The sequence below is a fragment of the Homo sapiens genome, chromosome 12 (genome assembly GCF_000001405.40).
Source record: "Homo sapiens chromosome 12, GRCh38.p14 Primary Assembly".
In the NCBI taxonomy this organism is placed as follows: Eukaryota; Metazoa; Chordata; class Mammalia; order Primates; family Hominidae; genus Homo; species Homo sapiens.
This window is the reverse complement of record NC_000012.12, coordinates 122,634,464-122,657,196: the sequence shown is the minus strand read 5'-3', so window position 1 is coordinate 122,657,196 and position 22,733 is coordinate 122,634,464. Positions and strand designations below refer to the sequence as shown.

The window sequence follows — 22,733 nt, the reverse complement described above, 5'->3', positions numbered from 1 at the left end:
CAGCCTCCCAAAGTGCTGGTATTATAGGCATGCACCATTGTGCCAGACACCTCCTCCGATATTTCTTGAGCTTCCACTTCACACAGCCTTTATCCTCTTGCTGTTGGTCATGACTCTTGTTCCCACACTTCTTTATTAAGACAGATGTTTGCAGAATAAACACACCAATGAACAAAGACAGCTACACAACCCCTAAAGGGAAGGCTGCCTGGCTGCTGGAACAGACTAGATTACGCCCTTGAATGAAACACAAATTGCTCTAATAATGTTGGGGGAGGGGGTGGTCGACAGAGAACTCACCTAGCTGTGTCACCACCTTCTAGAAATGACCCTCCTCCAAGCGACAGTGTCATTCAGAGGTGACTGGGTGCCAATCCAGTACAGAAACTGAGTCTTGATCAGTTTAAGCCAGTCTTGGTAATATCACTCTCCTTGCCAAGACCACGCTGTAGGCATGGAGAAGTGACATCATTCTGGCCAGTAAGGTGTCGAGGAAGTCTTCCGGGGATGCTTTTCAGAAGATTTTCTTCACTTTTGAAAAGGACCTTTTGGTTTGGCAGTTCCTCAAAAAATTAAACATAGAATTATCATATGACCCAGCAATCCCACTTTTAGTCACATGCCCAAAAGAGTTGAAAACAGGTTACTCAAATACTTGCACAGGCCTGTACATAGCAGCAATATTCACCAGAGCAAAAAGGTGGAAGCAACCCAACAGCCCATCAACTGATGAATGAACAAAATATGGTGTCTGTGTACGACAGAATGTATTATTATTTGGTCATGAAATGGAATAAAGCACTGACACAAGCTGTCCCATGGAGGAACTTTGAAAACATGATGTCAAGTGAAAAAAGCCAGGTGCAAAAGGCCCCGCATGGTGTGACTCCATTTATATGAAATGTCCGGAATAAGCAAATACTTAGAAATCAGATGAGCTGAGAGTCGGGGAATGGGGAGGATTGTTTTTGATGGGTATGGGGTTTCCTTTGGGTGTGAAGAAAATGTTTTGGAACTAGATACAGGTGGTGGCTGCACAACATGGTGAAGGTACTAAATGCCACAGAATTTTTCACTTTATTTTATTTTTATTATTTTTTTTGGGACAGACTATTGCTCTTTTGCCCAGGCTGGAGTGAAATGGCGTGATCTTGGCTCACTGCAACCTCCACCTCCCCGGTTCAAGTGATTCTCCTGCCTCAACCTCCCGAGTAGCTGGGATTACAGGCACCCGACACCATGCCCGGCTAATTTTTTTGTATTTTTTTTTTTAGTAGAAACAGAGTTTTACCATGTTGGCCAGGCTAGACTCAAACTTCTGGATTCAAATGACTTGCCCGCCTTGGCCTCCCAAAGTGCTGGGGTTGGCCGGGCGCGGTGGCTCACACCTGTAATCCCAGCACTTTGGGAGGCTGAGGTGGGCAGATCACCTGAGGTTGGGAGTTCCAGACCAGCCTGACCAACATGGAGAAACCCCATCTCTACTAAAAATACAAAATTAGCCAGGCATGGTGGCACATGCCTGTAATCCCAACTACTCGGGAGGCTGAGGCAGGAGAATCGCTTAAACCCAGGAGGCAGAGGTTGCAGTGAGCCGAGATCGCACCATTGCACTCCAGCCTGGGCAACAAGAGTGAAACTACGTCTCAAAAAAAAAAAAAAAAAAAATGTGCTGGGATTACAGGCATGAGCCACCACACCCAGCTAATTATTTTGTATTTTTAGTAGAGATGGGGTTTCACCATGTTGGCCAGGCTTGTCTCGAACTCCTGACCTCAAGTAATTCGCCTGCCTTGGCCTCCACAAGTGCTGGGATTACAGATGTGAGCCACCACGCCCGGTCAGAATTGTTCACTTTAAAATGATTAGTTTTTCAAAAGGACGTGGCTGGAGATGAATTTTTTTTAAAAAATAAAAAGTTTAGTTTTATGTTATGTGAATTTCACCTCATTTGAAAAAAAAAGGATATTTGAAAATTCTTGCAAGGCCAGAAGGTTTGGAGTGGCTCAGCCTTTTTGCATTGTGAGGAGACAAGCAAAGAGCAAATCAGCATGTAGAGGATGGGGGATGAGATGGTAGACGGAGCTCGGCCATGTCATTGGCCTGTTCAGGGAACTCTGGACCTCTGATTAAGCAAGACGATAAATGATGTCTTTGCTTAAAGCCATTTCTAGCTGGGTTTTCCATTACTTGTAGCCAAAAACACCCTAACTGATACAGACTTCGAGGTTCTGAAAAAGCAAACCCAAGGTGTTAGTTTTATCCAATGGGAAGAAGAATCCCTAGACTGACAGTGGCCCTTTCACATCCCTGTGTATCCCTCGCTGGACAGAAATGATGACACAACATGTTGCTACAGCAAAAGCGAAAGAAATGAGCTTTTTCATCTTTTTTTGGTTGGAGGGGAGAGAGGGTCTTCGTAGCCCAGGCTGGAGTGCAGTGGCGCAATCATGGCTTCCTGCAGCCTCGTACTCCCCGCCTCAGCCTCCTGAGTAGCATGTACCACCACACCTGGTTAATTTTTTTTTTTTTTTTTTTTTGAGACAGAGTCTTGCTCTATCGCCCAGGCTGGAATGCAGTGGCGCGATCTCGGCTCACTGCAAGCTCTGCATCCCGGGTTCACGCTATTCTCCTGCCTCAGCCTCCCAAGTAGCTGGGAACACAGGCGCCTGCCACCACGCCTGGCTAATTGTTTTGTATTTTTTTAGTAGAGACGGGGTTTCACCATGTTAGCCAGGATGGTCTCGATCTCCTGACCTCGTGATCTGCCCGCCTCGGCCTCCCAAAGTGCTGGGATTACAGGCGTGAGCCAATGCACCCGGCCTAATTTTTTTTTTTTTTTTTTTGTAGAGACAGGGTCTTGCTATGTCGCCCAGGCTGATCATGAACTCCTGGGCTCAAGCCATCTGCCCGCCTCGGCCTCCCAAAGTGCTGGGATTACAGGCGTGAGCCACTGTGCCCAGCTGAGCTTTTTCATCTTGTAGGTAAATAACTAATGATGAAGAATTCTCAACAGTATTTACTTCTCAGGGTTAGGAAAGGATTGTGAGTGTGTGTGTGTTTGTGTGTGTGTGTGTGTGTGATTCCCAAGATGAACCCAGGTCTCATATTTCCAGGTATCTCTAACCAGCCTTAGTGTTCCAAAACACAGGACGGACTGGCTTTAGGTACAATATTAAAATAATTACAGGCTGGAAGCGATGGCTCATGCCTGTAATCCCAGCACTTTGGGAAGCCAAGGCAGGGGGATCACCTGAGGTCAGGAGTTTGAGAGCATCCTGGCCAACATGGTGAAACCCCGTCTCTACTAAAAATACAAAAATTAGCTGGGCATGGCAGCAGGCATGGGGGTGGGCGCCTGCAATCCCAGCTACTCCAGAGGCTTAGGCAGGAGAATCGCTTGAACCCAGGAGGCAGAGGTTGCAGTGAGCTGAGATCGCACCATTGCACTCCAGCCTGGGTAACAAGAGCGAAACCTCATCTCAAAAACAAAAACAAAAAAAACAAAAATTAGCCGGGTGTGGTGGTGAGCGCCTGTAATCCCAGCTACTCAGGAGGCTGAGGCAGGAGAATCACTTGAACCTGGGAGGCAGAGGTTGCAGTGAGCCAAGATTGTGCCACTGTACTCCAGCCTGCGAGACAGAGCAACACTCGGTCTCAAAAATAAAATAAATAAAATTAAATTAAAAAAATAAAATACATAAAATAAAAAATAAAATAAAATAAAATAAATAGAATAAAGTAATTAGAGTTGTCAGCCCTGAGTACTAGAGGTGAGATGGAATCACTGGCAATGCCACTGAAGTCTGTGTCGCTTCTCTCAGGGGATTTGAGAGCTTCTGACCCTGAAACATGACCAAGCGCCGTGGACAGCCCATGCTTCCTCGGTGTAGGATGCAATGCTCTGTGCTGTGGGCAAGCCACATACTGTCTTTTCTGCATCTCTAGGTTGTGTGCGGGGCAGGGGAAAGAAGCTCCCTCCACAGCCTTTCCCTCACATTTCCATGGCTCTGAAAAGGCCTGGTGTGGCCGCCCCCTACGTTTCCTGCTCTACTCCACATGGAGAAAGGTTTCAGGCTGGCCACGGTGTCTCCCATCTGTAATCCCAGTGCTTTGGAAGGCCGAGGTGGAAGGATCGCTTGAAGCCAGGAATTTCAGACCAGCCTAGGCAACATAGTGAGACCCTGTCTCTACAAAAAATAATATTAGCTGGGCATGGTGGTGCATGCCTGTAGTCCTAGCTACTCGGGAGGCTGATGTGAGAAGATCCCTTGAGCCCGGGAGGTGGAGGCTGCAGTGAGCCATTGCACTCCAGCCTGGGAGACAGAGTAAGACTTTGTCTGTTTAAAAAAAAAAAAAAAAAAGTTTCTGAGAAAAGATAATGTAGCTGGGGTGGGCTTTTTTGGATGAGGGCGTTTAAAGGCTAATATAAAGTGCCGGGCGTGGTGGGTCACGCTTTTAATCCCAACACTTTGGGAGGCCAAGGGGTGGGCGGAACTCCTTGGAACACCTGAGGTCAGGAGTTCCAGACCAGCCTGGCCAACATGGTGAAACCCCGTCTCTACTGAAAATACAAAAATTAGCCGGACGTGGTAGTGCGGGCCTGTAATCCCACCTACTTGGGAGGCTGAGGCAGGAGAATTGCTTGAACCCGGGAGGCGGAGGTTGCAGTGAGCCAAGATCACGCCACTGCACTCCAGCCTGGGCAATGGAGTGAGACTCAGTCTCTAAACAATAATAATAATAAATAATTTTTTGGCCGGGCGCGGTGGCTCACGCCTGTAATCCCAGCACTTTGGGAGGCCGAGGCGGGCGGATCACGAGGTCAGGAGATCGAGACCATCCTGGCTAACACGGTGAAACCCCGTCTCTACTAAAAATACAAAAAATTAGCCGGGCGTGGTAGCGGGCGCCTGTAGTCCCAGCTACTCGGGAGGCTGAGGCAGGAGAATGGCATGAACCCGGGAGGCGGAGCTTGCAGTGAGCCGAGATAGTGCTACTGCAGTCCGGCCTGGGCGAAAGAGCAAGACTCTGTCTCAAAAAAAAAAAAATAAAAAGGCTCATATAAGGGATTAATACTTTGCAAGTGTTGATGGAATTGATCTTGCTCTGTTTCTTGGCACTTGGACCGAAGTCATTGTGTAATGTATAAACTATGAAAATAAATGACTTAAGTCGCCTACAATAAAAACCTGTTTCACAGCTGATGGATTAAGGGAAACAGGTCCTGTGCCTATGCTGATTAAGGTGTTATACTTGTTTATAAAGGTTGAAGGAAATTAGCCAGGATGAATTCAGATTTATCTCTCTGAGAATTTCTAATAGGGCTATGAAATTACATTCCTCTCTATCTTCACATCTTGGAGTTTTGTTTTTTTTTTCCCTACTCAGCTGGAAGTTCACATTCAGCGGGTCTTATCTAGAAAGAGGTGAGTTGTTTAGTCAAGACACCTTAAATCAGCTGGGTGTGGTGGATCACGCCTGTAATCCTAGCACTTTTGGAGGCCGGGGCGTGTGGACTGCTTGAGCCCAGGAGTTCAAGACCAGCCTCAGCAACATGGTGAAACCCTGTCTCTACAAAAAATACAAAAATAGCCGGGCATGGTTGCAGGCACCTGTAGTCCCAGTGACTTGGAAGGCTGAGGTGGGAGGACTGTTTGAGCCTGGAAGATGAACGTTAGAGTGAGCCAAGATTGCCATGCTATAATCCAGCCTGGGTGACAGAGAGAGGCCTTGTTTGAAAAAAAAAAAAAAAAAAAGGACAGGCGTGGTGGCTCACGCCTGTAATCCTAGCACTTTGGGAGGCGAAGGTGGGCAAATCACCTGAGATCAGGAGTTTGAGACCAGCCTGGCCAACATGGCAAAAACCCATCTCTACTAAAAATACAAAAATTAGCCAGGTGTTGGCTGGGCACACGCCTGTAATCCCAGCACTTTGGGAGGCCGAGGCGGGTGGATCACCTGAGGTCAGGAGTTCAAGAGCAGCCTGGTCAAATTGGAGAAACTCCGTCTCTACTAAAAATGCAAAACTTAGCCGAGCATGGTGGTGCATGCCTGTACTCCCAGCTACTCTGGAGGCTGAGGTGGGAGGGTTGCTTGAACCCGGGAGGTGGAGGCTGCAGTGAGCGTGAGCCGAGATAGCGCCATTGTATTCTAGCCTGGGCCACAGAGCGAGATACTTTATCAAAAAAAAAAAAAAAAAAAAGTCTTAAATCACCTGGAATGTGAGATATTTCCAAAACAATGAGTAAGTGTGCTAAAATAAAAGGAAACAAAACAAAATCCTGCTGACTTTCTGAGGGACCGCCAGGATGAGGACATAGAGCTAAATCTAAACAACTGTCAGGGGCCTGTGGGGTCTGCCTGTGACTCAGCTGCCAAAGAAAGGAAGAGGAAAGAGGAAGAAATGGGCCGGGCTCGGTAACTCAAGCCTGTAATCCCAGGCGGACGGATCATGAGGTCAGGAGATCAAGACCATCCTGGCTAACACGGTGAAACCCCGTCTCTACTAAAAATACAAAAACAAAAAATTAGCCAGGCGTGGTGGCGGGCACCTGTAGTCCCAGCTACTCAGGAGGCTGAGGCAGCAGAATGGCGTGAACCTGGGAGGTGGAGCTTGCAGTGAGCTGTCATTGTGCCACTGCACTCCAGCCTGGGCAACAGAGCAATACTCCGTCTCAAAAAAAAAAGAAGAGGAAGAAATGACCATTGAGAATCTCTCTTCCAGCTGCTCGCATCCACTTTGGAAACCTGTTGATTCTGTAGCTTTTCTATAGATTCAGGGATAATTAAAATGTACATGAGACTGGCCAGGCACGAAACCAGACTGGCCAACATGGTGAAACCCCGTCTCTACTAAAAATACAAAAAAATTAGCTGGGTGTGGTGGTGTGCGCCTGTAATCCCAGCTACTCAGGAGGCTGAGGCAGGAGAATCGTTTGAACCCAGGAGGCGGAGGTTGTAGTGAGCTGCGATTGGGCCTGAGATCACACGACTGCACTCCAGCCTGGGCGACAGAGGGAGACTTCATCTCAAAAAAAAAAAAGTACACGAGATTGAGTAACATTGCTAAAACCTCAAGGCCCCAGGCAGAGGGCTAGGTTCTCGTTTAAAAACCTAAACAACTAACATCTTTGACTATCAAGGAAGAAAACACTAAAGAAACACAGATTGTTGGCCAGGCACGGTGGCTCATGCCTGTAATCCCAGCACTTTAAGACTGAGCCCAGTAGTTTGAGACCAGCCTGGGCAACATAGGAAGACACTGTCTTTATTAAATAAATAAAAGGAAATTTTTAATTATTGTTCTGTGTGTTACCAGGAAGGAAATAAAAGCACATGTTGTTTATTAATTATATTCAGGGATGAAAATTATTAAAGACTTACCCATAAAAATCCAAAGGAGGTTTTGATCACCTTTCAAAAAACTACGGTTTCTGTATTATTCAGCCTTGAAAAGGAAGGACGGCTGGGCGTGGTGGCTCACGCTTGTAATCCCAGCATTTTGGGAGGCCAAGGCGGGTGGATCACCTGAGGTCGGGAGTTCAAGACCAGCCTGACCAACTTGGAGAAACCCCGTCTCTACTAAAAATACAAAATTAGCCAGGTGTGGTGGCGCATGCCTGTAATCCCAGCTACTCAGGAGGCTGAGGCAGGAGAATCACGTGAACCCGGGAGGCAGAGGTTGCAGTGAGCCGAGATCATGCCACTGCACTCCAGCCTGGGCAATAAGAGTGAAACACCGTCTCCAAAAAAAAAAAAAGGAAGAAAGAAAGAAAAGAAAAGGAAGGACATTCTGGCCAGGTGCAGTGGCTGTAATCCTAGCACTTTGGGAGACTAAAGCAGGCAGATCGCTTGAGTCCAGGAGTTCGAGACCAGCCTGGGCAACATGGCAAAAACCTGTCTCTACAAAAAAAATGTGAAAATTAGCCAGGCATGCTGGTGTGCACCTGTGGCCCCAGTTACTTGGGAGGCTCAGGTGGGAGGATCTCTTGAGCTTGAGAGGTCAAGGCTACAGCGAGCTGAGATCACATCACTGCACTCCAGCCTGGGCAACAGAGTGAGTTTCTCTCAGAAAAAACAAATAAAATAAACAAAATTGAAAGGGAAGGACATTTTGGCTCACACTGCAAACATGAATGATCATTGAGGACATTATGCTGAGTGAAATAAGCCAGTCACAAAAGGACGAATCTTGCATGATTCCCCTTATACGAGGTCCTTAGATTAGTTGAATCCAGAGACAGAAAGTAGGATGGTGGTTGCCGGGAGCTGGGGTGAGGAAGAATGGGGAGTCAGTGTTTAATGGGTCCAAAGTTTCAGTTTCACAAGATCGAACTGGAGATGGATGGTAGTGATGATTGTATAAGAAAATAAATGTATTTAATGCCACTGGACTGAACACTTAGAAGTTATTAAGACGGCAAATTTTATGTATACTTTACTATAAGTTTTGTTTTTGAGACAGTCTCACTCTTTCGCCCAGGCTGGAATGCAGTGGCACAATCTCGGCTCACTGCAACCTCAGCCTCCAGGTTCAAGCAATCCTCCTGCCTCAGCCTCCCTAGTAGCTGGGATTACAGACATGTGCCACCATGCCCAGCTAATTTTTGTATTTTTAGTAGAGACGGGGTTTTGCCATGTTGGCCAGGCTGGTCTCGAACTCCTGACCTCAGGTGATCCACCTGCCTTGGCCTCCCAAAGTGCTGGGATTAATTACAGGTGTGAGCCACCGTGCCCGGCCTATTTTACTATAATTTTTAAAAACTAAAACATGGAAATAATATGATTCCTAATCTATACTGGGAATGTTCTGTTACCTGATCTGAGTGTTGTCACACGGGCATGATGACTTCATGAAAGTCTATTATAATTTCTGTATTTTTCTGTATGTTAGTTGACTTCAGTAAAACTTATGATTATTACTTCTATTTATTATTATTATCATCATCATTGTTATTAGAGATGGGGTATCATTATATTGCCCAGGCTGGTCTTAAACTCCTGGGCTCGCATAATCTTCCCACCTTGGCTTCCCAAAGTGCTGGGATTACAGGCGTGGGCGACTGTGTCTGGCCAGATTATTTCTAATCAATAACTACACAGAAAGCACACTGTTATTTAAAGGATTCTATACTTCACCCAAAGGCAGAAGCAGTGGAAATTGAGAAAGGAGGTTGTAGTAGGTTGAAGGTTGAAGAGTGCCCTCTGCTAAATTCATGTCTTCCGGGAACCTCAGAAGGTGACCTTATTTGGAAATGGGGTCTTTGCAGATGGAATTAAGATAAGGATCAAGATGAGATCATATAGGATTAGGGTGGGCAATGACAGTGTCCTTAGAAGAGACAGAAGAGGCCAGACAGAGAAGAAGTCCACATGAAGACAGAAGCAGTGATTGGAGTGACGTGGCCATGAGCCAGGGGATGCCTGGAAAAGACAGAGAAGGATCCTCCCCTAGAGACTTTGGAGAGAGTGTGGATCTGCTGGCAGCTTGATTGCTGACTTCTGGCCTCCAGAACTATGAGAAAATAAACTTCTGTTGTTTTGGCGAGGCATGGTGGCTGACACCTGTAATCCCAGCACTTTGGGAGGCCAAGAGCAGGTGGATCACTTGAGGTCAGGAGTTAAAGAACAGCCTGGCCAACATGGCGAAACCCTGTCTCTACTAAAAATTAGCCGTGTGTGGTGGCACATGCCTGTAATTCCAGCTACTTGGGAGGCTGAGGCAGGAGAATCGCTTGAACCCGGGAGGTGGAGGTTGCAGTGAGCCAAGATCACGCCATTGCACTCCAGCCTGGGGGACAGAGTGAGACTCCATCTCCAAAAAAAAAAAAAAGCCAACAAAAAACATCTTTTTCATTGTTTCTTACAACCCTTATCACTTACGTTTTCATTTCACCCTCGCTGTCAGCTTCCCTTTGTCCTTCCGAAAGCACAGAAGTAAAAATGAAACATAGAAAAATCCCACCGGTAATCTAGACCGAGCCAGAAGAATGTACCTTTCTGAGAAAAGACCACCCATCAATAGATCTGCACGTGGGGATCTTGTGTTTACATGCCAAACTCGTGAATGGTAGAGCTGTCACCCTAAATGTGGTACCCTGTGGCCGGTTATGAGTCATTAAAAAAAAGGGAGACAGAGATTCACCGGCACATGTGTTCATACTGCTTGATGATGAAACTTTTCTTAGATCTGACCAAAACACCAACTGCCAAGCACATGGCACCACGGGGAAGGGGGAGGGATGAAGTTTTGTAAATTACCACTTCTTCTTTTGAGGTATGAAATATAATGTGGGTTATGAGTAATGTACCCTTTTAAGATATAACCAAGTTACCAAGCCTACCTAAATAACATCAGAAAACATGAGTTGACAATCATTTGGTTTTGAGGTAATAACATTTCCTCCTGATTCATTACATTAGCTCTTTGAATATAAGGAATGTCCTAATGCTTCCTACATATATGTATATTCATATTAAATGAGACAGTTTCAAGCAATTCCAGGAACTTGGATATTAAGTAACTATCATGTCATAAAGAGGGAGTGGGAGTTAGTTAGGCAAAGAGGGAAGGGGAGCAAAGACTTGAAACAGCATGAAACGTGCAGAGAATTGTATCCCGGATACAAGACAGGGAGTGAAAAAGTCTGACCAGAGAGTCTTTTTTTTTGTTGTTAATTTGTATTTTTGTTTATTTATTTATTTTTGAGACAGTCTTGCTCTGTTGCCCAGGTTGGAGTGCAATGGTGCAATCTTGGCTCACTGCAATCTCCGCCTCCCAGGTTCAAACAATTCTCCTGCCTCAGCCTCCCCAGTAGCTGGGATTACAGGCACGCGCCACCACGCCCAGCTAATTTTTGTATTTTTAGTACAGATGGGGTTTCACCATGTTGGCCAGGCTGGTCTCAAACTCCTGACCTGAAGTGATCCACCTGCCTCAGCCTCCCAAAGTGCTGGGATTATAGCTGTGAGCCACCGTGCCAGCCTTTTGTTGTTAATTTTTAATTTTTAACTTTTAGGTACATAGTAGGTGTATATATTTATGGGATACATGAGATATTTTGACACAGGCATGCCATGCGTAATAATCTCATCAGGGTGAATGGGGTGTCCATCACCTTAAACATTTATCCTTTGGGTTACAAACAATTCAGTTATACTCTTTTAGTTATTTTAAAATGTACAATTAAATTATGTTGACTATAGTCACTCTGTTGTGCTATCAATACCAGGTCTTATTCATTCTTTCTATTTTATTATTATTATTATTATTATTTTTGAGACGGAGTTTCACTCTTGTTGCCCAAGCTGGAGTGCAATGGCGTGATCTCAGCTCACTGCAACCTCTGCCTCCTGGGTTCAAGCGATTCTCCTGCCTCAGTCTCCCGAGTAGCTGGGATTACAGGCACGTGCCCCCACGCTCAGCTAATTGTTTGTATTTTTAGTAGAAACGGGGTTTCACCATGTTAGCCAGGCTGGTCTTGAACCCCTGACCTCAGGTGATCCACCCGCCTCGGCCTCCTGAAGTGCTGGGATTACAGGCATGAGCCACCGTGCCCCGCCCATTCTTTCTATTTTCTGTACCCATTAGCCATCCCCACGTCCCCCTCCTCCCCCAACTCCACTACCCTTCCCAGCCTCTAGTAACCATCCTACTCTCTATCTCCATGAGTTCGATTGTTTCAATTTTTAGCTCTCACAAATAAGTGAGAGCTTGTGAAGTTTGTCTTTCTGTACCTGGCTTATTTCATTTAACAGAATGACCTCCAGTTTCATCCATGCTGTTGCAAATGACAGGACCTTATTCTTTTTTATGGCTGAATAGTACTCCATTGTGTATATGTAGCATATTTTCTTTATCTGTTGATGGACACTTAGGTCTCTTCAAGTCTTAGCTATTGTGAATAGGGCTGCAATAAACATGGAGTGCAGCTATCTCTTCCATATACTGATTTCCTTTCTTCTAGGTATACACTCAGTAGTGGGATTGCTGGATCATATGGTAGCTCTATTTTAAGTTTGTTAAAGAACCTCCAAACTTCTCCATAGTGGTTGCACTGATATGGGAGTGCTGGGAGGGGAAGAGCGTGGTCCCTTTAAATGATATGGAAGGGGGGAAGGGAAATGCTGGGTAAAGGAGGGTGTGGTAACTGGCTAGGGCTCCACCCCTACGGACCTAGGTAAGGACAGGCACTCCTGCCTTCCGCGCCCAAATGTTGCATTTCCCATGACTACTCTGGCCCCCCATGCCCCCATCCTGTGCCTATAAAAACCCGAGACCGGCCAGGCGCTGTGGCTCATGCCTGTAATCCCAGCACTTTGGGAGGCTGAGGCGGACGGATCACGAGGTCAGGAGATCAAGACCATCCTGGCTAACACGGTGAAACCCCGTCTCTACTAAAAATACAAAAATAAAAAATTAGCCGGGCGTGGTGGCGGGCGCCTGTAGTCCCAGCTACTCAGGAGGCTGAGGCAGGAGAATGACTTGAACCCGGGAGGCGGAGCCTGCAGTGAGCCGAGATCGCGCCACTGCACTCCAGCCTGGGCGACAGAGCGAGACTCCATCTCAAAATAAAATAAAATAAAATAAAACCCCGAGACCCTAGCAGGCAGACACAGGTGGCTGGACATCGAGAGGACATCGAGGGTAGCACGCTGGCGGAAGAGCACATAGTCAGACACTGGCATGCCTACAGGCCATCAGGCCATTGACTGGGGGAATGAGGCGGAGTTTGGCCTGGGCAGTCGGAGGAGAGCCCGGGCTGCGAAGAAGCCGCCCGACTCCCGAAGAAAACCATCTCCTTTCTGGCTCCCCTATCTGCTGAGAGCTACTTATCAATAAAACCTTGCACTCTCATTCGCCAAGCCCAGTGTGATCCGATTCTTCCAGTACACCAAGGCAAGAAACCCCGGGATACAGAAATCCCTCTGTCCTTGTGATAAGGGGGCCTAATTCAGCTTGTTAACACAAGCCGCCTATAGATGGCTAAACTAAAAGAGCACACTGTAACACACGCCCACTGGGGCTTCAGCTATAAACACTCACCCCTAGACGCTGCCGTGGGGTTGGAGTCCCACAGCCTGCCCGTCTGTATGCTCTTCTAGAGGTTTGAGCAGCAGGGCACGGAAGAAACCAGCCACTCCCCCATCACACTTCCTGCGACAAGGAAGCCTTTCCCGTTTCAGTACTAATTCACAGAGTCCTTAACTGACATTTTAAAGATGAGTTGAACCTGTGTATCTATTTTGAAGCAAGTTAATTAAAAATCACCCTAAAATTGTCAAGGTGGTTAAAAGGCTACAGGAAATATCAATATTTTTAATAATAGCCAAAGGTAGAAGCAATTGTATGATATTATGACAGAAGAATATGTATTTGGTCTTAGTCCCCAGTTCCTGGGATGCTAAAACCCTTGTAATTTCCTGGGCAACAAGCATGTTAGCATGGTGCCTCTTTTGTTCTAATATCTGGTCTTTGACCTCAGCTCCTGGCACAGAGCTCCTAATCCCTTGGGGTTTCCTGGGTAATAGGAGGATCTTTTGTTCTAATGAGGCAACTTTTTGTGGGTTCCTGGTTGGGGGCTGGTCACCAGAAAGACCAAACTGTGGTTAGAAGCTTGAAGCTTCCAGGCTCATCCCCCATCTGCTGGGAAAGGAAGAGGAGCTGGAGACTGAGTTATTATAATAATCAATCATGCCCACGTGATGAAGCCTCCATAAAAATCCCTGAACTACAGGATGCAGAGCGCTTCGGGGCTAGTGAACTACAGTAGATCCATGTGCCAAGATGGTGCAACCCAGCCCCATGGGGACAGACGCTCCTGCACATGGGCCCTTCCAAACCTCGCCCTATGTTATCTCTTCATTTGACTGTTTATTTGAATCCTTTAATATATCCTCTGTTTTTTGTTTTTTTGTTTTTGAGACAGGGTCCGTCTCTGTTGCCCGGGCTAGAACACAGTGGCATAACATGGCTCACTGCAGCCTCGACCTCCCAGGCTCAAGTGATCCTCCCGCTTCAGCCTCCCATGAAGCTGGGACTACGGGTGCATGCCACCATGCCTGGCTAACTTTTTTGTTTTGTAGAGATGGGGTTTCACTATGTTGCCTAAGCTGGTCTTGAACTCTGGGCTCAAGTGATCCTTCCGTCTAGTAGGTCTCCCAAAGTGCTGGGATTACAGGCATGAGCCACCACTGCTGGCCATTAATATATCCTTTATAATAATCTAGTAAGTAACCTGTTTTCCTGGGTTCTGTGAGCTGCTCTAGCAAATTATAGAACCAAAAAGGGGGTCATGAGAACCTCTGATTTGTAGCCAAGTTGAGCAAAAGTTGTGAAAAACCTGGGAACTCACCACTTGTGATTGGCGTCTCCAACGGGGGCAGTCTTGTGGCACTGGGTTGGTAACCTGTGGCATGTCATGCTATCTCCAGGCAGATAGTGCAAATCGGTGTCTGCAGAGAAGTGAACTGCCTGGTGTGGGAAAAAACCCCTAGCATCTGGTGACAGAAGCGTTCTGTGTTGAGTGTGTAGTGGTAGAAAACAGTTTGTTTTTCCCCTATGCAAACCCAAATGTTATTCAATGGATGAATGGATAAACTAAATGCAGTCTATCCACACAATGGAACATTACTCTCCCATAAAAAGGAACGAAGTTCTGATCCCTGCTACAATATGGATGAACCTCGAAAATGTTAAGTGAAACAACCCTGACACAAAGGCCATATATTGTACGGTTCCATTTATAGGAAATGCCTAGAATAGGCAAATCCAAAGACACAGAAAGCAGAAAAGGGGTTGCTTAGGGAGAATTGGGGTGGGGGATTGGGGGACAACAGCTGAAGGGTTTCTTTTAGAGGTGATGAAACTGTCCTAAAATTGTGATAATGGTTATATGTATCTGTGAATATACTAAAAACTATTGAATTGCTAACTTTATTTATTCACTTAGAGACAGTCTCATTCTATAACCCAGGCTGGAGTACAGTGGCAAGATCATGACTCACTGCAGCCTTGACCTCCCGGGTTTAAGCAATCCTCTGGCCTCAGCCTCACAAGTAGCTGAGACTGTAAGTGCATCCCACAGGCCGAGGGCAGTGGCCCACCCCTGTAATCCCAGCACTTTGGGAGGCCGAGGTGGGCGGATCACCTGAGGTCAGGAGTTGGAGACCAGCCTGGTCCAACATGGTGAAACCCTGTCTCTACTAAAAATACAAAAATTAGCTGGGCATGGCGGTGGGCGCCTGTAATCCCAGCTACTCGGGAGGCTAAGGCAGGAGAATCGCTTGAACCTGGGAGGTGGAGGTTGCAGTGAACCCAGATCGCCCCACTGCACTCCAGCCTGGGCAACAGAGTGACTCCATCTCAAAAAAAAAAAAAAAAAAAAAAAAAAATGCTTGCCACCACACCCAGCTAATTTTTGTATTTTTATTTTGTTTTGTTTTTTGATATGGAGTCTCACTCTGTTGCCTAAGCTGGAGTGCAGTGGCACGATCTCAGCTCACTGTGACTCCCACTTCCCAGGTTCAAGCGATTCTCTTGCCTCAGCCTCTGGATTAGCTGGGATTACAGGCATGCACCAACCACGCCCAGCTAATTTTTGTATTTTTAGTAGAGACAGGGTTTCACCATGTTGGCCAGGCTGGTCTTGAACTCCTGACCTCAGGTAATCCACCCGCCTCGGCCTCCCAATGTGTTGGAATTACAGGCGTAAGCCACCGTGCCTCGCCAATTTTTGTATTTTTTGTAGAGACAGGGTCTCACTTTGTTGCCCAGGCTGGTCTCGAACTCCTGGGGTCAAGCAATTCTCCCACCTCAGTCTCCTAAAAGTGCCGGGATAGGCCAGGCACGGTGGCTCACGCCGCCTGTAATCCCAGCACTTTGGGAGGCCGAGGCGGGCAGATCATGAGGTCAGGAGATCGAGACCATCCTGGCTAACACGGTGAAACCCCGTCTCTACTAAAAATACAAAAAAATTAGCCGGGCATGGTAGCGGGCGCCTGTAGTCCCAGCTACTTGGGAGGCTGAGGCAGGAGAATGGCGTGAACCTGGGAGGCAGAGCTTGCAGTGAGCCGAGATCACACCACTGCACTCCAGCCTGGGCGAGAGCGAGACTCTGCCTCAGGGAAAAAAAAAAAAAAAAAAAAAGTGCTGGGATTACAGGCATAAACCACCTTGCCTGGCTTGAATTGCAGACTTTAAGTGAGTGAATTGTATGATATGTTATCTGTATCTCAGGAAAGCTGTTTTTTTTTGTTGTTGTTGTTTCTGTTCTTGTTTTTAAGACTTAGAAAGAAAAAGCAGTTCAGGCCGGGTGCGGAGGCTCTCACCTGTAATCCCAGCATTTTGGGAGGTCGAGGCAGGAGGATCACCTGAGGTCAGGAGTTCAAGACCAGCCTGGCCAACACAGCAAAACCCTGTCCCTACTAAAAATACAAAAATTAGCCGGGCGTGGTGGCAGGTGCCTGTAGTCCCAGCTACTCGGGAGGCTGAGGCTGGAGAATTGCTTGAACCCAGGAGGCGGAGGTTGCAGTGAGCTGAAATCATGCCATTGCACTCCAGTCTGGGTGACAGAGTGAGACTCTTGTCTCAAAAAAAAAAAAAAACAAAAAAAACTTAGCTGGGCATGGTGGTGGGAGCCTGTAGTCCCAGCTAATCGGGAGGCTAAGGTGGGAAAGTCACTTGAATCCAGGAGGCGGAGGTTGCAGCGAGCTGAGATCACACCATTGCACTCTGCCTGAGCAACAGAGCAATACTCCGCCTCAAAAAAAAAAAAAAAAAAAAAAAAAAAAAAAAAAAAAAGAACTCCATGCCATCAGGAGGGACCTTATCATGGTGTTCATCTTGCATCCCCCAACCCCAGAACAGTTCCTGGCACATAGCAGACTCTTAAGTAGTCATGAAATTAATGAATTTCAGCTACGCGTTTTCAGGGTAAAATCTCTTCCTTGGATGCTTCATGAGCACATGAACAAATGGCAGTGCCTCATTATACATAAGAAAAATGGGGAAAGTTAGCAACCGCTAAATACATGAAGACGCTCTATTTAATCCTCAAGACTCAAGGGCCTCCTTCCACCATCTCTTGCTTGGAATGAAGCAGCCAAATTCTTTTTCTCTATTCGGAGTAGAGAATGAATTAGTGGGGTGTTCTCATTCCACTTTGTGGTGATGGAAAACCTGGCTCAGTGAGACAGAAGATATTCAAGCTTCTTTCTGCTGTTTCTCCTTGGGCCCAGAGATTTGGAATACATTATCTGTGCTTAAATAAACACATTGGATCCCTCCCTTGGGTAGTTTTTAAGTTATTTTTGAGTAAGAGAATAAGACTGAATAATTTTGTTGATTGTTTCTATCCAGATGGGGGTAGCCACATAAGTATAAAGACGTGCTTAGGGTAATAGTTTCTTTTTCATGCAATGCTGGTGTCCCAGGAAGAAGAGACCAGTGACCCCAAGGTTTTTTTGCATGCTCCTCAGTGGAAACTTTTGAGCACATACTCCCAATATCTTTCAACATATATTATTTTAGTAGAAATATATATATTTTTTTGAGACAGAGTTTTGCTCTTTCGCCCAGGCTGGAGTGAAGTGGCATGATCTCAGCTCACTGCAACCTGTGACCCCCGGGTTCAAACAATTCTCCTGCCTCAGCCTCCCTAGTAGCTGGGATTATAGGCGTGCGCCAGCACACCCGGCTAGTTTTGGTATTTTTAGTAGAGACAGTGTTTCACCATGTTGGCCAGGCTGGTCTCGAACTCCCGACCTGAGGTGATCCACCCGCCTCGGCCTCCCAAAGTGCTGGGATTACAGGTGTGAGCCACCGCGCCCGGCCAATATTCCAGTGAGCTAGTCAATAAACAAGTAAATAAAGATAACCCTGGATGGCAGCAGGAAGACAGTGAATAGAGTGACGTCACAGCAAGGGACTGGGGATGTGGGATGGTGACTAGCTGGGCTGGTCGGGTAAGGCTAGAGAGAAGGCTGGTCTGAGATATGGCAGGAGTGGCAGGGGTTGAGGCTGGAAAGGCAGACTGGGCCTAGATCTTACCGACCTTATAAGCCACGGTATGGACAGGCAGGCAGCACCGAGCCATAAACGAAATCCAGCTTTTAAATCCAGCGCTTTTAAAAAACTTTGACCTTACCCAAGGGGGTGTCTTTTTATGTTAGATCTGCCCAAAGGAGGGGCTTTTTATAATCCATTTTCCTGGAGATGACCCCTGCTTCTAATTCGAACAGAAGGGAAGTGTTTTCTGCAACTTGGGTTTTATGCTTAGTGAAATGAGAAGCCAGTGAAAAGTTTGAGGCCAGCCACGGACAAGATCCGGCTTATGTTTTAAGAATATACTTAGGCAACAGTATGGAAAATAACTGTATGGAGACAAGGGTAGAATAATAAAAATAATGATGGCAATCACAGCTAATAGAAATATAATAAATAGAACAATGACAAGAAGGAACCTTGCTGTTTTTTCTGTTCTTTTTTCTTTTTTAGAGACAGGGTCTCGCTCTGCCGCCCAGGCTGGAGTGCAGTGGTGCGATCATAGCTCACTATAGCCTCAACCTCCTAGGCTCAAGCAACCCTCCCACCTCAGCCTCCCGAAGCTCTGGGATTATAGACATGAGCCACCACTCCCGGCCCCCATCCTGGCTCCAATCCTGGCTAACTGTATATTTAATCTTACTTTAAAACAAATTCAGGCTGGGCACAGGTGGCTCACACCTGTAATCCCAGCACTTTGGGAGGGCAAGGCAGGTGGATTACTTGAGGTCAGGAGTTCAAGACCAGCCTGGCCAACATGGTGAAACCTTGTCTCTACTAAAAAAAATTACAAAATTAGCTGGGCATGGTGGCCGGCTCCTGTAATCCCAGCTACTCGGGAGGCTGAGGCAGGAGAATCATTTGAACCTAGGAGGGAGAGGTTGCAGTGAGCTGATATCGCGCCACTGTACTCCATCCTGGGCGACAGAGTGAGACTCCGTCTCTAAATAAATAAATATAACAAATTCAAATAACAGTTATGATCCAAAAAAAGTGACTTCTCCAACATGTTGAAAGCTAACCCTTTATGTATCAGAACTTTATTCTGAACAAGAAACCAATGTGGGCATTGGAAACACTCCTTCTTAGCTTAGCTCCAGAGTCAAAGAAGCGTGACAGTCCATCACATCTGTTAAGTTCTAGTGCCACCACCTGACCTCTTCTGGGCCTTGCACGCTTACGCCCAAGAGGACAATTCCAGACTCCATCTGCGACTGCAGCCTTCTAACTGGTTCTCTTAAGGTTCAATCACACAAATAAAGAAACACCAATGTGAACAGTGAGATGCCGTTTTAACCTATCAGATGAGCAACATGGTTTGAGGACATAGTAAAGTGGACGTGCATCCGCTGCTGGTGGGAATGGGGATTTGTGAGGAAGACCTTTTGAAATGCATGCAGTGTGGCAATTTGCAACTGGAGGCTTTAAAATGTTCCCTTCATTCCCTTGGATCTGGCAAATCTGTTCCTGGGAATGTATCTTAAGGGAATAATTCCAAATATGGAAAAAGCTTAGTGAAAATATATTAGCACAGTCTAAGTGTGCAGAATAGCTCCAGGGGGTGACCTAAGAGTTTTGAGGATTTGCTGTGGGCTGAGGATTGCCTACATCTATCATCTCATCTGATCCTCACAGAAACCACTGAAGCGGGTATATTATCCCCATTTTATGGATAAGAAAAGGGACTCAGGGAGATTACAAAATTCAGTCCGACTCATAAACCTATACACAGAAGCAGAATTAGAACCTGAGCTTGCATGGCTTTTCATTAAAAATAAAAAATCATTAAAAATAAAAACACTATTACTAAAAATAATATTTTAAAAAGTTTATAGTGGCAGAGAAAAGAATACAAAGTAAAAAATTGTACCTGCAGTAGGCTCATGATTTTATAAAACCATGTGATGCAGAGAAATAAGAAACAAAATGCAACCTGCCAGAGGAACTGATCACACCCTAAGTGTTTGTGTTTTCCATACATATCTTTTTTTCTTTGGCACAGGGTCTCTGTTGCCCCGGATGGAGTGTGGTGGCATGATCACAGCTCATTAAAGCCTTGACCTCCTGGGCTTAAGCGATCCTCCCACCTCAGCCTCCCAAGTAGCTGGGACTACAGGTGCACAACACCATGCTCGGCTAATTTTTTTTTTTTTTTTTTTGAGACGGAGTCTTGCTCTGTCGCTTCTGTCGCCCAGGCTGGAGTGCAGTGGCGCGATCTCGGCTCACTGCAACCTCTGCTTCTCCTCAGCCTCCCGAGTAGCTGGGACTACAGGCGCCCACCACCATGGCGTGTTAGCCAGGATGGTCTCAATCTCCTGACCTTGTGATCCGCTCGCCTTGGCCTCCCAAAGTGCTGGGATTACAGGCGTGAGCCACCGTGCCTTCGCCACGCCCAGCTAATTTAAAGCTGAGGCAGGAGAATTGCTTGAACCCGGGAGGCAGAGGTTGCGGTGAGCCGAGAACGCGCCACTGCACTTCACGCTGAGCGACAGAGCAAGACTTCATCTCAAAAAAAACAAAACAAAACAATTTGTAGAGACAGGGTCTCGCCATGTTTGCCAGGCTGGTCTCCAATTCCTGGGCTCAAGCAGTCCTCCTGCCTCAGCCTCCCAAAGCGCTGGAATTACAGACGTGAGCCACCACATCTGGCCCATTTTAAAACTTCTGTTTAAAAGTACGTCATGAACATAAGTTTTGTTCCTACCACATAAAGTATTTTTACAAATAGTTTTTTGTTTGTTTGTTTGTTTGTTTTGAGACGGAGTCTTGGTCTGTCGCCCAGGCTGGATGGAGTGCAGTGGCGTGATCTTGGCTCACTGCAAGCTCTGCCTCTCGGGTTCATGCCATTCTCCTGCCTCAGCCTCCCGAGTAGCTGAGACTATAGGCGCCTGCCACCACACCCGGCTAATTTCTTTTTTTTTCGTAGGGACGGGGTTTCACCGTGTTAGCCAGGATGGACTCAATCTCCTGACTTAGCGATCCACCCACCTTGGCCTCCCAAAGTGCTGGGATTACAGGCGTGAGGCACTGCGCCCAGTCAGCTATTTTCTTTTAGTTGGTCTCAAAGTTGTTATCACAAAGCTGCTTTCTCATTTTCTCTTAATTTGATAAAGGTGCAATTCATAACACAAGGTTATTATCCCCTAAAGGAAATGGAACAACTAGCATCATGGACAAATCTCTGCTGATTAATGAGTAGATTAATGAGTAACCAACATCCAGAGCTGCTCAAAACAGCCCTTTACACTTAAATCTCAAAAAGAAGGAATGATGGGCGATAAGCACCAAAAAAAAGTAGAAATAAATGCATGTAATTTTTCCTGGGCAATTTAAATAGTTCTTCATCTGGGAGTGCCTCCAATCCTTCTAGCCAATTCATCCTACCCGCAGCTGTCAAGTTCATCTTCCTAAAAACATCAAGTTCACTCTGTTATTTCCCTGCCTAAAAATACCACCTGTTTATGGTGTCAAGGTGCCAACGTGCTTTTCTCCCTCCTCTCACCCTGCCCCACAGTTCCAGCTTTGCGCCTTTTCTTGCTCTTCTCCCTTTTAGAGTGTTCCAACCACATCCTCCAGGGAAAATCCCTCGACCAAGAGTCCAATCTGATTTTGCACTTCCCTGACTTCTTGCTAAGCCGTCTACACCAGGAGGGTAAGCCAGTTTCTTCTGACACACAATTCCAATCGATTGGTAGAGATTTGTGGTTGCCTGGGGGCACTGCGTGTTTAAAGAACACTGGAATTAACAACGACCCAGGAAGGGTAGCAATGGGCTCAAGAAGGGAAAGTGGATGTACAACTATGGGTCATCCTGGTCTCTACTGCACTGGCCAATACGGTGGCCACTAGCCACATATGGCCATTAGATACTTGAAATGTCGCTAGCCCAAATTGAGTTATGCTGTTTATTTATTGAGACAGGGTCTCACTCTATCACTCGGGCTGGAGTGCAGTGGCATGATCACAGCTCACTGCAGCCTCGACCTCCTAGGGTCAAGTGATCCTCCTGCCTCAGCCTCCCAAGTTGCAGGGACCATAGGCATGCAGGACCACACCCAGCTAATTTTTGTATTTTTTGTTGAGACGGGGTCTCACCACATTGCCCAGGCTGATTTTGAACTCCTGGATTCAGGCGATCCTTCCACCTTGGCCTCCCAAAGTGCTGGGATTACAGGCATGAACCACCACACCTGGCCTGATATGTTGTAAATTTAAATCACTCACCAGAGTTTGAAGACTAAGTGTGAAAAAAAGGTGTAAAATATCTAATAATATTTTCATATTGATTACACGTCAACATATTTTGGATATGCTACTGGGGCAAGTAAAATATATTATTAAAATTATCCTGGATAAAGGACCAGAGGCAGACAATATATATATTTTTTTCATCTTTTTTTGTTTTTTACAATATGTGCATTAACAGTGGCAGTTTCAACAGGGTTCAGTGCCTAAAGGAGTGTCACAAGACCCAAAATGACAATGCTTACAAACCTCGTTTATTACAAGAAAAGGATTCAATACAGCAATGGCATTAAATTAAGAATATGTGTCCCGGCCAACCGGTATTTCAGAGCAAAGGCTCTGGAGAACTAGGCGCAGTCTCCCACAATCCTCCCTTTTGTAAGGGCTGTGGCTGGACACACTATCCCCACCCAGAGCAAGAACCAGTGATGTGTGTATACAG

General features: G+C 46.3%; 5 annotated features.

The window, feature by feature from the left end:
* Positions 472–521: an enhancer, noted in NCBI's record as "active region_7235". NCBI's record gives its function as "activates an Ori minimal core promoter by ATAC-STARR-seq in GM12878 lymphoblastoid cells {active_cell/tissue: GM12878}" and the evidence as "EXISTENCE:reporter gene assay evidence [ECO:0000049][PMID:35858748]".
* Positions 9,835–9,894: an enhancer, noted in NCBI's record as "active region_7234". NCBI's record gives its function as "activates an Ori minimal core promoter by ATAC-STARR-seq in GM12878 lymphoblastoid cells {active_cell/tissue: GM12878}" and the evidence as "EXISTENCE:reporter gene assay evidence [ECO:0000049][PMID:35858748]".
* Positions 9,985–10,054: an enhancer, noted in NCBI's record as "active region_7233". NCBI's record gives its function as "activates an Ori minimal core promoter by ATAC-STARR-seq in GM12878 lymphoblastoid cells {active_cell/tissue: GM12878}" and the evidence as "EXISTENCE:reporter gene assay evidence [ECO:0000049][PMID:35858748]".
* Positions 18,220–19,120: an enhancer, noted in NCBI's record as "H3K27ac-H3K4me1 hESC enhancer chr12:123122624-123123524 (GRCh37/hg19 assembly coordinates)". NCBI's record gives its function as "activates a minimal SCP1, AML or CMV promoter by ChIP-STARR-seq in naive H9 embryonic stem cells {active_cell/tissue: H9 hESC(naive)}" and the evidence as "EXISTENCE:reporter gene assay evidence [ECO:0000049][PMID:30033119]".
* Positions 19,188–19,257: a silencer, noted in NCBI's record as "silent region_5018". NCBI's record gives its function as "represses an Ori minimal core promoter by ATAC-STARR-seq in GM12878 lymphoblastoid cells {active_cell/tissue: GM12878}" and the evidence as "EXISTENCE:reporter gene assay evidence [ECO:0000049][PMID:35858748]".